General features: G+C 52.6%; 1 long non-coding RNA gene across 1 annotated transcript; it reads left to right on the plus strand.

Annotated features, from left to right (window-relative positions):
• Positions 1-5,990: 5,990 nt before the first annotated feature.
• On the plus strand, positions 5,991-13,784 carry LINC02991 (long intergenic non-protein coding RNA 2991). The gene is made up of 2 exons (NR_172921.1): positions 5,991-6,614; positions 10,709-13,784. It is a non-coding gene; the product is annotated as a long intergenic non-protein coding RNA 2991 (long non-coding RNA).
• Positions 13,785-15,910: the final 2,126 nt, after the last annotated feature.

Below are 15,910 nucleotides of genomic sequence, written 5' to 3' on the forward strand. Positions count from 1 at the left end.
TGGTCTCGATCTCCTGACCTCGTGATCCGCCTGCCTTGGCCTCCCAAAGTGCTGGGATTACAGGTGTGAGCCACTGTGCCCGGCCCCATCTTTGCCATTGTCAAGTGCACTTTTCAGTGGCATTAAGCACGTTCACATTGCTGTACAACTGCCACCACCATCCAGCTCCAGAACTTTCCCTTCTTCCCAAACTGAGACTGCGTTATGAAACGCCCACTCCCCATTCCCTCCCTGGCAGCCTCCATTCTATTTTCTGTCTCTGGGGATCTGGCCCCTCTAGGGACCTCCTACAAGTGGAATCACCCAGTACTTGTCCTTCTTGTGTCTGGCCTCTTGCACTTGGCATCAGGTCCTCAAGGTTCATCCACAGCGTGGCAGGCATCAGAATCTCCTCCTCTGAGAGGCAGAGGGACATTCCATGGTACGGACGGATCGCATTTAGCTTGTCCACTCACCTGTTGATGGACACGGTTGCTTCCACCTTTTGGCACTTGAGGACGATGTGCTGAGAACAGGGGTGTGCAAATGTCTGTTTGAGTCTCAGCTTTCAGGTATTGTGGGTCTATACCTAGAAGTGGAATTGCTGGATCATAGGATAATCCCATGTTTAATTTTTGGAGGACCTGCCACACGGTTTCCCACAGCTGAGATGTGTGTGCGTGTGTTTTTAATTAGAGAAAGAAGCTGTGAATGTGTGATCTGGGGAATCGTATCAGCATGTGCTCTAAGCATGTGCATCCCTGAGTGGTTTTAATGTGAAAACAGTTACATATATTTTCTTCCCTCAGCTTGTGAAGAGCAGTTGCTGATTTCACAAGGTTAGGACATTTGCCATCTGATATTATAAGTGGAGTTTGAGGGAAGCCTGTGGACAGGAAGTGGATCTGGAGATGGGGATGCTGGGCACATGGCCTCCTTTCGAGAAGCCCCAACCTTTTAAAAATCAAGGTCATGTTTAAGTAATAATTCGCTGGGAGCAAAAGTCAGAAGGCATGAAAAGGATTCAATGGGAAGAAGCCTCTTTCTCCCAGCCCCATCCAATCACCCAGACACCTCCCTTCCCAGAAGCATCCGGTGATACCAGCCTCTTGTGCCCCTTCCAGATCGATCTAAGCAGGTGCAATCGAGAATGTACATACTTTTCCTTTATTTTATTTTTTTTAACCACATATACAATACCCTATTATATACCTGGCTCGAAACTTTCATGGTGAACTTGGAAGATTTGTTTCTATCAGTTCATAAAGAGCTACCCTGTTCTAAGAGTTGCATAGCTCTCCATTATCTGTCAATCATTTTAAGGAAAAATATTCTTTAAATATGATGTTTCTGATTGTAATGAGGACCGAGGCTCTAGTTGCCTGACGCTTGGAGAAAGCAACTGAATAGCTCAAAAGCAGCTTCTGGGAAGGCTTTTCTTGGGAAAATTGCCTTGAAATATAGCTTTAAAAACCTTTTTATTGAAATACATATTTTTATTGGAATATAGTTTAATGCAGAAAAAAAAGCATGTATCGTAAGTGTATAGTTTGCTGAAATTTTATAGCCTGAACATCTGTGAAGGTGACATTCCCGTATGAAAAAGGGCATGATCAGCACCCCAAAGCTAGATATTTTTGGGGAGTTCTCCGGCCTGATTGATGTCTGAAACACTGAAACTTCAGCCCCAGGCCAGGCTTGTTTGGTTCCTGAGGTATTTGGGGAGCCAAGGATCAACTGATCTGAGGTCTTCTGCAGGCAGGACTGGGATGCTGGCTTCCAGGAGGAAACAGGCCCTGGTGTGTGGGCCCCACCCTCTCCCAAGAGCTGCTCTGGAATTTCCTAGCTGTGTGGTCTCAAGAATATTACTTACCGGCCCTGGGCCTCTGTTTTCTCATCTATAACATGGGAGTAACCATGGGTGGCAGGGTGCCAAGCCCCTGCTAATATCTCCCTGAAAGAGACATCACACTGTCCTGCCTGTCAAAGTCAGGCTTCTAATGAAGCCCTCCTCAGGGTCATCTTGAACAAGCTCAGGGACAGAAGCGGATGCCCTGGGAAGCTCTTAGAAGGGTCCGTGACCCAGAGTCCTCTGCCTCCCGAATCCCTCCCTGAGTTCTGATGCCGGTGTTGGGCAGGGCCTTCTCATCCCTGCAGGGCTGAGAGCAGAAGGTGGAGGGGAACCTGTGGTTATGAAGCATGGTAGGGCTGATCTGGGCTGATCTGGGCTGACCTCAGTTGTCCAGGGCAGGTCCTGTCTGCTGTATCGCTGTCCCCTGGCCCCCACTGTGGAGTGGCCCCAGGTCTCAGGCCCCCCTGACTAACTCAAACCTCTGGCATGTTGGCACCTTGCCCTGGCTGTCTCCAGCTGGCACCTCCCTGCTGCAAGCGTGGCCCCCACCCACTTCACTCTCACCCTGCCCCTTGGCTGCCGCCCTCATGCCCTGCCCCTTCAGGCTCCAGAAATCAGCTTTTCAGCTCTTTTTTTTCCTGGGAAGACTCAGGGTGAGCTGGAATTCCCCAGAGATTAGTTAAAAAAACATCAAAGCGCACTTTGTGCTCTGGTCAACATCTGGCTGTGCAGCTGCTGTCAGCCCGACGTTGCCAAACAACTGGGGGCTTGACTTGGAATGCGCCGCGGGTCAAACGCTGCCAGGCCTGGGCTGTGCTTGGAGCAGAGGTGAATCCAAAGTCAGCAGGTGGGGGGTTTCCCTGGGCAGGGAGACCCTCTGTGGCCCTCCTGCATTGCTGTTGGTACTGGGTCAAAGGGCCGGGGCACGTGTCCCCCAGGACTGAGATGCTCAGATAAATTGTAGGTTGGGGAGATGGTGCAGATGTCGGGATCAGAGCTGGAGGGAGGGTGACCCCAGGCACCAGGACATGGTGGACAGGACTTTCCCCACCCTTTCGAAAGCCTCTGGCGAACCCTAACCAAGTTCCTCATGGTAGGAAACAGGAAGAGCCAGGGGCCCTTTTGGAAACCCAATAGGAAAGCAAAAATCCTGGGTGGGTGAGGCCCCCTTGCCTCCACATTAAAGGGGCAGTGGTGGGACAGCAAGGCCCTGTGCGGGACAAGGACCCTGATGTGGCTGAAGAGTCTGGATGCAGATGACAAAGCTCTAAGCTCCCAGGAGAGTGAGGTGGACAGGCCCCCAGCCCAGCAATGACCTGGGGCCGATCAGCCAAGCCCTCAGAGTCCATTGTCACACAACACAGGCTGACGACACCCTTGGGTGGGTGAGGGTGAGCTGTGCAAATGTCCATGGAAGGGCTGTGGCATCTGCCACACCGTGCAATTGTTGAATGTCACAGTGTTAACTGGGGCCACTGAGCAACCAACGCAGAGCCCTCTGCATCCCAGAGGGCTGCTCCAAGAGGACGCTGTGCCACATAGTAGGCAGGGCAGCCCCACACTGCAAGGACGCTCAGCGAGAGCCACACCGGCACATCCGCCAGCCTTCATCTCTGTGTCCTGCCGCTGCTGCTGTCTCTGGCACCAGCGCCACATTGTATGGGAGAAGCAAACTGACTCCACTTTCTCTGGTTTTGTCTAGCCTGGGATGATAAAGCAAAAATCTGACTTTCAGCTCGCTAGAGGCGACTGGAAGCCTGCTCTGGGTTGGGGAGGTTCTCAGCTTATCTCAGCACAGGGGACTTGGCATCCACAGGAGGTAGGGGAACTGGGCTGCCAGCCCCGTGCCCTGATTCTATTGCTGCGTGACAAACCAGGCCAGACTTCAGTGGCTGGAAACAGAGGGAGCTTGGATTTGCTCTTAAACCTGAAGTTTGGGCAGGGCTTGGAGAGGGCAGCTCACCTCTGTTGCACTCAGTCGGGGTGACGTGGAGGCTAGGGGCCAGGATGGCTGGAGACTCAGTCACTCACTGGTCTGGGGTTTGATCCCAGCTGCTGGCCAAGGCCTTCCCTGGAGCTTCACTGGGGAATCTGCATCACTCTCCGTGCAGCCTGGGCTTCCTCCCAACATGGCGGCCGGGTTCCCATGCGGAGCCTCCTGCAGGAGAGCTGTGAGTGGAAGCCACATGACCTTTTATGCCCCAGCCTTCCTAACCACACAGTCATTTCCAGCCTGTTCTACACTGAGGCAGTCACAATGGCTGCCCCAAGCTTAAAGGGAGGGGACTTGGATTCCACCCCTTGGTGTGGGGAGTGCAGAAAGTTACTGAAAAAACAGGTGGAATAAAAAATACTGCTGTGGTTATTTTTGAAAATAGCTTCTGCCCTGTTTCCCCAGGTCACTCAGCCAGTGGCCATGAGCTGCCCTGGAGGGACATGAACTCCCAGGGACTTCAGCTGGGAAAAGTAGCTCTGGTGGTCCAAGGTCAGTGGTGTGGGGTATTCTCAGCAAAAGCACAGGGAAGTTGGGGAAGGGGCTCAGAACCCCTCACAGGGACCTGGGGGCTCTGGGCAGAGCACTGATGGCTTCTGCTACGGGGTAATCACACTCGATACAAATGGATCAGACAATTGTCCTGCCCCTTGTGTCTCATGATCACAAGCAGGAAGGGTGAACCCGGTGTCTCCGTGCTTCCGGGAAAGTTGGTGAAGGAAAATACAAACTCAAGAATGGCCAGAGCGTCATTTCTCAAAGGCAGCCAGCGCTACCCCATGTGTCTACTCCAAATCTTAGGTCTCTGACCTCCAAGTCCAAAGCTCAGCCGCCTGCCTTACATCATGCCACCCCTTGTCCATAACTTGACTTTGGTCCTGCAGGGGTTGGAAATGCACCATTTTGTGTACATGCTGGTCCTCATGCATGTAAAGTGAGGATGCCTGATTATCCACTGAATATCTTGTTTAAATAAAGTTTTGCTAATACCTATGTAGATATACTTCAAGATCTTTGTTGGGCCACTAAGATTGGTGTTTGGGTGTAGAGACTGGGGAAGCAACAGGAAAGATTTATTTTTAAGGATGAGCAAGGGATTCCTGGAAGGTCGCCTAAGAGAGCTCCAGATTGTCCTCCTTGAAGCTGCAGCAGGAAGCGGGTTTTATATGTTTGTTGTGTCTGCGTCATGGGATAGACTTTTCTACTGTAAAATGAGATTTTTTATGCTATGCTAAACACAGATGTTTTTCTCCTCCCGCCAACACTTCACAGGCATAGGGACCCCTCCCAATGTCACTGTGAGCTGTGAGCACTGAGATGGCTCCGAAGGCAGGAAGAGAGCTCGCTGGAAGTCCCAGGGGAGCAGGGAGAGAGCCAGGTGCCGCCCAGATGCTACACATGCCCTGTGGCTCTGCAGGGCGTTCTCTGGAAGAGTCAGGCCTCCTCCAGCTCCACCAGCATCATGGAGGCTGCTAAGCTGCCTCAGTTTCCCCAGTGCAGCTGTGACATGGGCCTGAAGGGACGTGGAGAGAGGCAGCTGATGTCTCCGCGCTGGCTGTGTCACTTGTGCTGGGTGGTGACCAGGGGCCACACCCCCATCCAGTCACATTAACTTACATGAAAACCTCCAGGTGATGCCTCCAGGGGCCACTAGGCTCCCTCAGGTCCCTGGACCAAGGCTGTGACCTACACAGATAGATTCTGCCAATTTCTCCTTGAGGGTCATGATGCTCTCCTCCTGGTCCATCTCAGAGTCTTCACTGGAGAAAGAAGTTTCCATCTACAAAGTGTGCTCCATGGAGACATGGCTCACCTCATTCCAGACTTCCATCTCCTTGGAAAAGTGACAAAGGATCTCAGAGGTAGGAGAAAGGCCCTGAAATCCCAGCACAGGCACTCGGGCTATGAAGGGTAGGAGGAGCGGAGCTGGGAGCCTGGGCTTTGAGGCCTTGCGAAATCCCCCTGTGCCACCGCCCAGCCAGACACACGAGCAACCCACCAAGGGGCGGGTGGATGCGGCCTTGGAATTCAGAGTTCCCGTTTGTAGAAACGAAATGTTTATTTCATGATGCAGTTGGGGGTAGAAAATGGGGATAAATCTCTAATTTCTCAGATTTCCAGAAATCGGGATTTTCCCTAAGTACCCCTGGCCTTGAGCTAAATCCCGTCACTGTCTTGGGCTGTGTGCTGACGGGAGCCAGGGCCTTGTAAGGCCCAGACCCTCCTCCTTCTCTCCCGTATTAGTCAAGGTTCTCCAGAGAAATGGAGTTAGAGATGCATTGCTATAAGAAATGGAATGGGCTCGCATGATTACAGAGGCTGAGGGGTCCTACACCCTGTCGTCTGCAAGCTGGAAAGGCAGGAGAGTCTGTGCTGCAGCCCTAGCCAGAGCCTGGAGGCCCGAGAACCAGGCACGCCGACGACAGCACACTTCCAGCCTGAGAGCAAGAGAAGGTCAGTGTTCCAGCTCCAGCAGGCAGGCAGAGGGAGGGTTCTCTCTCCACCTTTGTGTTCTACTCAGGTCTTCAATGGGTTGGATGAGGCCCATCCACATTGCGAGGGCGTCTGCTTCACTGAATCCACCATCGTACCTGCTTCTCTTGGATGCCGTCCGATTGCAGAGACGCTGTTCCCTTGAGGGTTCCTGCCCCACCGTGTGTGCTGGTGCTAGGATGTCTGCCCTGGTCCAGCCCTGCACCCCTGAGTCAGAGGCTCTTACTCTGGGTTCAATTAAGAAGGTTATTTGGCCCCCACACAAAGCTAAGACTTTCACCTTGGCATTTGTTAGGAGTAAGTAATAATTTGAGTTCTATGTGTTTTATTCTTTATCTCATGTCCAACTTGTTCTGAACCTGCATGGGGAAGAGGTGCTCTTAGTATTAAGCACTCTCAAAGGCCCTCAGTTCCTGGAGTGAGGAACTTTGAGAAATAAGAGGTGATGGGGTGAGGAGGGCAGAACACACAGTGAGAGGGCTTCACTGGGCGCGACGTGTGGCTTTGGGCCTTTCGGCTTAGATTCCAAACAGCACGTTTGACCTTGAGGTCTGCAATGGTTCTCCTGGGTGAGGCCTGGACCCCTGTGGCCCGGGCATGAGACCTTGAGCTCAGGCCATGCCATGCCTGACCTTGAACCTTGCTGATCAAGGCTTCGCCCACAGGCGAGGGGTATTCCAGGGAAGCAGGAAGTGTGCAGCAGGCACTGACCAAAGATGTGCCGCCCTCTGCAGAGGGACGAGGGGCCAGGCTGGGCCTTAAGGAAGCCCTGACGTATGCCTATCCTGGTGACCTTGCTCCGGTGGCCACCCTGTCAGGGCCCCTGCAGCCAGATGGAGCCCAGCAGTGCAGAGGCCTCTTTTCAGAGGCAGGTGTGTCTAAGGCTAGCATTTGGTTAAAGAGGATGAAGGCTCTGCTGTACAGGCCTTTTAAACCCTAGGTGGATGTATATTAGTCTGTTTTCACACTACTAATGAAAACATACCCAAGACTGGGTAATTTATAAAGGAAAGAGGTTTAATGGGCTCACATTACCACATGGCTGGGGAGGCCTCTCAATCATGGCAGAAAGTGAATGAGGAGCAGAGTCACGTCTTACATGGTGGCAGGCAAGAGCGTTTGTGGAGGGGAACTCCCCTTTATAAAACCATCAGATCTCAAGAAACTAACTCACGACCATGAGAACAGTATGGGGGAAAATGCCCCCATGATTCAATTATCTCCACCTGGCTCCGCCCTTGACATCTGGGGATTATTACAATTCAAGGTGAGATTTGGGTGGGGACACAGCCAAACCCTATCAGTGGAGAAAGGCCTATTTGCTGCTTTTACTAAAGTTCCTCCTTTAGGTCTGTGGGCAGAGGTTTCACCCTGAGGCAGCTGCTCTTGTGTGCCTTAGAGAACCAGGAAGGTGCAGGACGCAGGTGGCCGTGTCAGGACAGGAGGCAGAGCAGACCAGCTGCCCTGCACTGCTCTCTGCACTCCAGCCTGGGAGGGCTGTGCACAGGGGGACTTCAATGTCTGTGCTTTGTCTCCCAGTTCTGGGTAATGCCCAGAGCGCAACTCCCAAGTTTGTTCTGGACTTGTTCATTGCAGAAGCTCCAAGCAGAGTCTGAATCTGTGTATTTTAGAGATCTAAAAAGTGGCTTCCTTCACAGGAGGGTGGAAGTTTCTAAATGTCACAGATAAGGAATCAGGGCCTCTTTATGAGGGGGCGGAGGGCTTCCCCTCTGCACTGAAGTGTCCTGATCTGTTACAATACAACTAGGTCCTGGATGAACAATGAAAAATACTTTTCAAACATTGCTGGAGTTGCAATAAAGTGAGTGAATGCCTAAAGAAAAGAGAAAAACAAGCAGTGAGTTGAGACGAGAAAGGTAAATAAGAAAACTGGGCCGGGCACAGTGGCTCACGCCTGTAATCCCAGCACTTTGGGAGGTCGAGGCGGGCGTATCACGAAGACAGGAATTCGAGACCAGCCTGGCCAACATGGTGAAACCCCGTCTCTACTAAAAATACAAAAATTAGCTGGGCATGGTGTCGGGCGCCTATAATCCCAGCTACTCGGGAGGCTGAGGCAGGAGAATCGCTTGAACCTGGGAAGCGGAGGTTGCAGTGAGCCGAGATCGTGCCACTGCACTCCAGCCTGGGCAACAAAAGCAAAACTCCGTCTCCAAAAAAAAAAAAAAGGAAAGAAAACTTTGGTTGCCCTGTGGAAACGCCGAAGAAGCCCTGGGCATAAGAAATGAAGTTTTAGGCCTGCAGTTCGTGTGTCAAACCAGGTCTCAGAGAGGCCTACAGCGTGGGCAGAGCCTGAGGCCCCAGAAGAGCCCAGAGGGCAACCTCTTTGAGAGGTGAACCTGTGACTTAGGGTCTCTGGGTTCCTGCAGACTCACTTTGGCCAAAGCTGAACTCATAATCACAAACCAGAAAGCACGCAAAGAAATCACCTAAAATGAGTTGGAGTCTGTATAAACGAAAAGAAAAAGCACAGAATCCAGTAGATATGTACCCTCCAGCACTTAAGAAATTAACATCATCAGATATACAATGTAAAATAACTACCTGTGCAATGCCTAGGAAGTAAAATAAAAGAAAGGAAAAGAAAGCAACAGAGGCCATCGGAAGCACCCATGCAGAGAGGAAAGGGTGCCGCACAGAACACAGCCTGAGGCCCTGGGGTTCTGGAGTCAAGTGCCAGTTCACCGCCCAGGCCTCCCCAGGGCCAAGTCTGTGTCTCAGCTCCAGGCACTGCCTCCTCTGTTCCCTGGATACCGGGCACTTGGAAGCCCCCACTGTGGACCTAGCATAGCCCACACTGTGGGAATCATCTGCTGGGCCTACTCTCTGCACTGGCACCTTCACCTTGCTGGGATCTGGGGCGTTTGTGCCTGCTGGGTGGCACCTCCGGGGTAGGACTGGAGGGTGCCGACTACCCCTCACTGGCCCGCCTTTGGTGTAGTCGCCCAGCCATTGCCGCCTGCCAGCATCACTGTCTCGGCGAGCGGATTGGACGAAGGCTTCCCCATGCTGTGGATTCCTTCCAGTCCCCGGGCATGCTTGGCCCATCTGGGTGAAGTCAAGGAGCTCTGACTCCGAGTTGGATTTGGGAGAGGCTTGGCTCCCATTCGCAGGGATTCGGTACCTGCTGCCCCTTCGCAGTCCATCCTGCCGGCTGTCATCTGCTCCTCGGCCGTGTCATCAGCCTCCTCCTCGGTGGGGGACCTTTCTGAGCTCCTCCCCAAGGTCTGCAGGCAGCTCCTCACGTGACAACACTGCAGAGTCTCCCACCTCCCAGCCACCCTGGAAAGGAGCTCACAGGGTTCTGCGCTGATGCTGGGGAAGTTTGGGCTGGTTCTGAGTGAGGGATGGGATAAGGCAGGGGCTGGTTCTGAGTGAGGGATGGGATAAGGCGGGGGCTGGTTCTGAGTGAGGGATGGGATAAGGCGGGGAGCAGGGAGCCAGGTGAGGGGCTTTGGGTGGTGCGTTCACAGTAGAGTCTTGTGAATTTGGCCTTCTCACCTGGTCCTGGAGAGGGAAGGCAGCCTGCAGTGTTTTCTCCAGGAGTGAACGTTCTCAGCATTCCATTTGTTGGCTTGATCACCAAGGAGGAAATCTTCCGAGTTTCTTCTGGGCCAACTTTTATCACTAATCTGCAGAAAGCTCTGAATGGACGCTTTTTGCTCTTTTTTCATTATGGTTATTGGAGCTGTGAACAGGAGCAGCTCTACATACTTTTTGCTTCTCACTAAGTACCATGAGTAGGGTGACTATTGTAATAGAAACATGTACAAGAAATTATAACTAGGACTATTGGCTGTTTTAAAATCAAGGCAACATTAGTTAACATTTCTCAAATTTTAGTTCTGCAGATTATAAAATTAATGTAAACTTTTTGTAGAAAGTTTGGAAAGCATAGACAATCTAAAAGAAGCTGGAAAATATCACTCATGACGCACCCTCCCCTCCGCCCCCCATTCAAGCAGGAAGCCCCATTAGCATTCGATCTCTGTCCTTCCTGCACATTCCTGCAGCGTAAGTGGGGTCTTTTCTTTTCATAATTGAGTTTGTGATGCAAATGTATGTGGATCACGCTTTTCACTTTCTTTTTCTTAACGGGATAGGTTTTTTTACCCTCATGTCACTAAAATCCTCCCTCCATGATTGTTTAAAATGGGTTTGTGAGTTCTTGTTATGAATGGATTACTTATTCAACAATTCCCTAAATAAAGGGATCATCTAATTATTTTCAGTTTTTCACTATTGTAAATCCTATAGTGGTAAGTATCTTTTAAAATATATTTTGGTGTTTTTTTTCCCACAGGTTCTCAAGATTTGGAAATAATTTTAAAATAAAAATAATGTGAAATATATTTTGGTTTGCATTTCAGATTCTTTCCTGAAGTTGGACAGTTTGGCCATGTTCAAGCCTCTGAATTCTTCCATAGAATTGTCTTCTGGAAATCATGCCACAGTAATTTAAGTCTCCCCGGCTGTATGTGTGAGGACTTCTTACCCTCTTGGGCATGGAGGGGTTAGCATGTTTGGTAGCCATTCTAGTCATAGTAGGTTGACAGTTGAGTGTTTCCTAGATCTTTCCAAGTAGACCAGCATGACTATGGAAGAGGCCCTGAAGGTCCCACCCCGACACGCCAGTCCGAAGGGCCCTTGCCTGGGCACCCTGCACCTTCCCCTGGACCTGCTGATGCGCCTGGCTGGGGGAATGCGGGCCTTCGCGTTGGTTCCACCTCCAGCTTCCATGACTGTGGAGTTCTGCAGTGGGTTCATTGAGAAAGTGGTGGTGAGACCAGGGTATCTGAGAGGAGTGGTCGGCAGGGAGATGAGACAAGTGTGGAGACCAGGCAGATGGAAGGCGCATGTCTGGAGGGTGTGAGAGCTGCCAGGTGGGTGTCTGCAGGGTCTTGCAGAGTCGCTCAGCCGCAGGTGGGGCGGCTCTGGAGACCCTATCAGCACATTCCAGAGAGTGGCAGACCCCACGGCCAGGCATGGACTGATGAGCAGGACTGTCCTCCACTGTCCAGACAACAGCACAGATGAAACCCAGGAGCGCCTGGGACGGTGCTGTGAGCCCTGCACATCCACGGAGTCTCTCAGATGAAACCACACGGGTGTCACAGTGACGCTCTCTCCCCTCAGAGGCTGCCGACCCCTCGCTGGGCTGCTGGACTGCTCAGGGCCGGCCCTTGAAGCCTGGAGGGAGCCATGGGTCTGTGTGTACACATGTGTGTGCCCGTGAGTGAGTCTATGTGTGATCTCTGAAAATGAAGCTTCCACATTACCAATGCCTGGAGAATCCAGAACTGGGACTCCCAGGTAACTGAGGGCCTGGGTCCCAAAGCTGGTGGCTGAAGCTGGCTGCTCCGAGGCATGCGTGGCAGGAAGGGGTCATCAGGAGGGCCACCCAAGGCCCCGGGCACCTCTGATGGGTTTCCAGAGTCCCTGCCCTCACGAGAGGGAAGTCAGTTGGAGAATGGGGTGCTGAAGTCTCGAGAGAAAGGTGTCCTTGACTCGGGGTCCAGAGTAAGCAGCTTCTGCCCCCCATATCACGTGGCTAGTGGCTTGTCCTGACTGTGCCCCACGTGTCATGGCAAAGTTTCGACACCCACTTTGGAGATGTCTTGACAGAGGCCAGCGTCAGGCTCCCGTTCTTCCACACGCTGGAAGCTGCTGCACAGCGGGCTCAGAGCCTGGGCTCAGGAGGCATCCCGGTTACTGTTGCTGTATCCTGGAGGGTGGCATCTCCTGGGAGCTGTGGTCCGAGCCCCTTGCAACAGCGGGGCCAGGAGAAGGCTGGTTGCTGGGTGCATCCTGTTCTTGGGGTTCCACCTGCTGTATCCATCTCCCGGGGGATTTTCCGTCGCCGTCCTTGGTTCCAGCACATGCCCTGAGTGGTAATGCCGATTCCTGCCTGTGCTGCCGACTTGGTGCGGGGAGCCTGTGGCTGCTCTGTCAGGTGGTTGGCCCCGATGGCTCCATGGGTGGCCCCCGCCCAGGCATCTCATGGAGGGACTCTGCCTACGTCACTGGCCGCCAGTCCTGGGGGACACCGTGTGCATTTGCACATGAACCATGATGGGAACCTGGGGGACGGGTCTCAGGCTGAGAAAGGTTCCCCTGGGCTTCAAGGTAAATCATAAAGCGAGGTAATTTCCTATAAGTGTCAGAGGACACTGTAACTGTCCCTTCTGAGCAGGACATTGTTGTGGTTGTCTGTCTTCCCTTTTGTCTTCTGCCTGTGGGATTATCTAGATTCTGAGCAGGTAAATTGTTTCAGGCTCTGGCCTTCTCAGAGCCTTTCTGTGGCTGTAGGTTGTGGGGAGGGCACCATGGTAGTTGCCCCTGCTTCATTCACTCAGAGCCACTGACAGGGGCCCCCCAACCTGCTCGGAGCCCTCCAGGGGCAGGCACTGTCCCTGCTGCCCCCCTGCTGCCCTGAACATCTCCCCAGCCCCACAGCTGACCCACCCTTTCAGGGTAACAGTGCAGCTGCGGGGGCAGCCCCCTCCAGCCCTTCCTTGGTCAGCCTCCCTGCTGCTGGCCCTTCCTGGAGACGTGATTTGCCCTAGAAGTGGCAGGTGTGTGTGGCTCATGCCCTCACTGTAAGGCTGTGCCAAGGCAGTGCCACCTTGGGAAAAATCAAAACCCCATACCAGCTCCTCCCAGTCCATGCCAGCACACACCCTGGCTCCTCAGAACCCCCCACAGAAGCAGGCAAGGAATCAAAAACTCAAGTCTGCAGGAAGCCAGGCAGGGATGGAGGAGGGGTATACTGTCACAGGTGAGAGGGTCCCAGAAGCCTTTCTGGAGGAGGTGACTTCAGGCTGGATTTGGAGGGGCAACTTAACAAGCAGACAGGTGGGTGGAGACGCTCCAGCAGAGGAAATGGCATGGAGTGTCCAGGAGCCCACGAATCAGCTGGCATTGTTGAATCATGGAGAACGCAGAGACGGTCTCAGAAGTCGGCCGGAGCCTGAGTCATTGGGCCACGCGGCTTCAGTCCTTCCTTGCAGCCTGTGGGGAGTCTCAGGGGAATTCTGAGGAGGAAAGGGGGATGCTCATGATAGGTATTTATTGTTTTTGTTTGTTTGTTTTTAATCACTTATTTTCACAAGTGTAATCGAAGCACCTGGTTGTGAGTCCAGGAGAGTAAAACATTTAGCCCTCGCCCCTCCCATCCATCACGGATTTTCTGACGCCTGCAGCAGGGTTCCTGCCAAAGGAAAACCCATTTATAGTCATATACTTCCGTGAACCTTTGATATAACCCAGTTATGTATCTAGAAACCTGCCTTTTCAAAAATATTAACCTGTCTATAAATGTAGTAAATGTTATATAAAATGCAATCATGTTTAAGAAGTTAACTATTGTTATATTAATTCGAGTTGAACAATTCAAATTCTCAACTTCATTTATAAACATAGTTAATTAAATTCCTTTATGCATATAAAACTGCATTTTCAAACTTTTTCATACATTTGATTTTCTCATTAAGAGCTTCAAATGCCCAATAGGGCAAATACAAAAGGCTAACAAGAAGGCTGGGCACGGTGGCTCATGCCTGAATCCCAGCACTTTGGGAGGCCGAGGTGGGCGGATCACTTGAAGTCAGGAGTTCAAGACCAGCCTGGCCAACACAGTAAAATCCCGTCTCTACTAAAAATGTAAAAATTAACTGGGTGTGGTGGTGGGAACCTGCAGTCCCAGCTACTTGGGAGGCTGAGACAGGGGGTTCACTTGAACCTGGGAGGTGGAGGTTGCAGTGAGCTGAGATTGCTCCACTGTACTATAGCCTGGGTGATAGAGCGAGGCTCTGTCTCAAAAAAAAAAAAAAAAAAAAAAAAAGGCTAAGAAGGAAGAATTTTTCCCAAGCGCTTGCAAATTCAGACATTAAGTAATGGTCACAAACATCCAAATTCCAAGTTCCCTGAGACATTTCACTCACTTTGAGTTTTGGGGCATGTATGCTATTCCTGCCCTCTGCAGAAGTGTAAAGTCAGAGATCTCGGCTTCCTTCCTTACCTCGGTATCTGGTGCAGCCCTCCCGGGCAGGTGCATCCTCTTACTGGGACCTGGTGCCTTGAAAGTCCAGGGTGATGGCATGTGTACCACAAGAGGACACTCAGGGGCCTGTGTGTGGTCGTCCTGGCAACTGGGGCCTCCAGCCCACACACCAGAGGGAAGTGTTGGCTAAGTCTGGACTCCGTCCCGTCCTTCTGGGTGATTTGAGTTGACAGCGGTCTGATCCTGCCAAGAGGGCAGCTGACGTCCATTTACGACATCCTTTGCTACCTGGCTGAGGCCTGCACGGTGTCGCTGGACCACGGCTCCACCAAGTAGTTTATTGACGTCGATGGGATTCGCCAGGCCTCCGTGGCACCAACACCTTCACCGGCCAGTTCCTCTATCTCTGTCCTCAAAGGCATAGATTTTAGGACTCATGTCTGCCCTCAGGCAGGTGGCCAGAGTCCTGGGGAAGTAACACAGTCCAAGAGCTGCCGAGACTTTCCCCATGCACGTAACAGCCCAGACAGGTGATCAGGACACCGGCATGGGCCTGCGGTGAAGAGGGGAGGAGAAGAGAGACAGGACAGGCACTTGGGAAGTGGAGCCCCACGAGTGAGCCCTGGAAGGACCCCTGTCTGCTCTGCCCCCTCTGCACCCCCAGCCCCAGGAATGGTTTCGGTTTGAGTGCACGTCTGAACCCAAGGGCCTCGTGCTGCTGCGGGGGCAATAGCAGAGAGGAGGCGGGGGTGCAGAGAGGAGGCCGGGGTGCCGTGAAGGCAGGTCATGTGCCCTAGCCAAGGGGCGGTGCTGGGGAGAGTCTGCAGGAGACTGCGGCGGGGATGGCAGGGGTTCTGCAGCTCAGGGGCGGATGCTGGTGTTGGTATGATTTCGGAATTCTCTGAAGGGGTGAGGGCTCGCCCAGGGCAGTATGGAGTAAAGAGGTGAAAAGTCAAAGACACAGCCCCGGGCCATGACTGTGGGTTTCAGGTCAGGCACAGGAGCCAGTGAACAAAGGCCTGAGAGAGTCAGGCTGGGTGGGGTGTCGGGGCAGCGGGAGGGGGTCTCCTTCTGTCCCAGAGACCACTCGCTTTAGGGTGCCCTCACAGAGCTAGGACTGGGAACATGGGGGACCCCAGACTCACGGGGTGAGGGTGACGCTCTGGAATCTGTACTTTGAACCAGCTTCCAGGGGGTCCCTGGAACGTCACAGGGGAGACACTTCTCTCCCCTCTGCTGCTGCCTTTTCCAGCATTTTCTCTCCTGCTGGGCCGTGAGCCAGGGACAGCCGTCCACACCCCCAGCGCCCGAAGTCACCTTCTCCTCACTTCCTCGGCTGGTTTTCTTCTCTGTTTAACCCACCCGTTGCTTTCTGTAAAGTTCTGCTTTTGGAAGAAGTGGGCTGGCGTTCACTTGGCCCGTTCACAGCATGTGAGCAAACTGAACTCTGTGTCCTATAATGAGGGCTCTGCGCAGTGGTAGGAAGAAATAACCACAGTTCCCCAACCCCTTGAAATTTCCTGGGAAAATGTGACCGTGTCTCTAGGAAGGCAGAGCGTCCCCTCCCACG

The sequence above is a fragment of the Homo sapiens genome, chromosome 2 (genome assembly GCF_000001405.40).
Source record: "Homo sapiens chromosome 2, GRCh38.p14 Primary Assembly".
Lineage (NCBI taxonomy): Eukaryota > Metazoa > Chordata > Mammalia > Primates > Hominidae > Homo > Homo sapiens.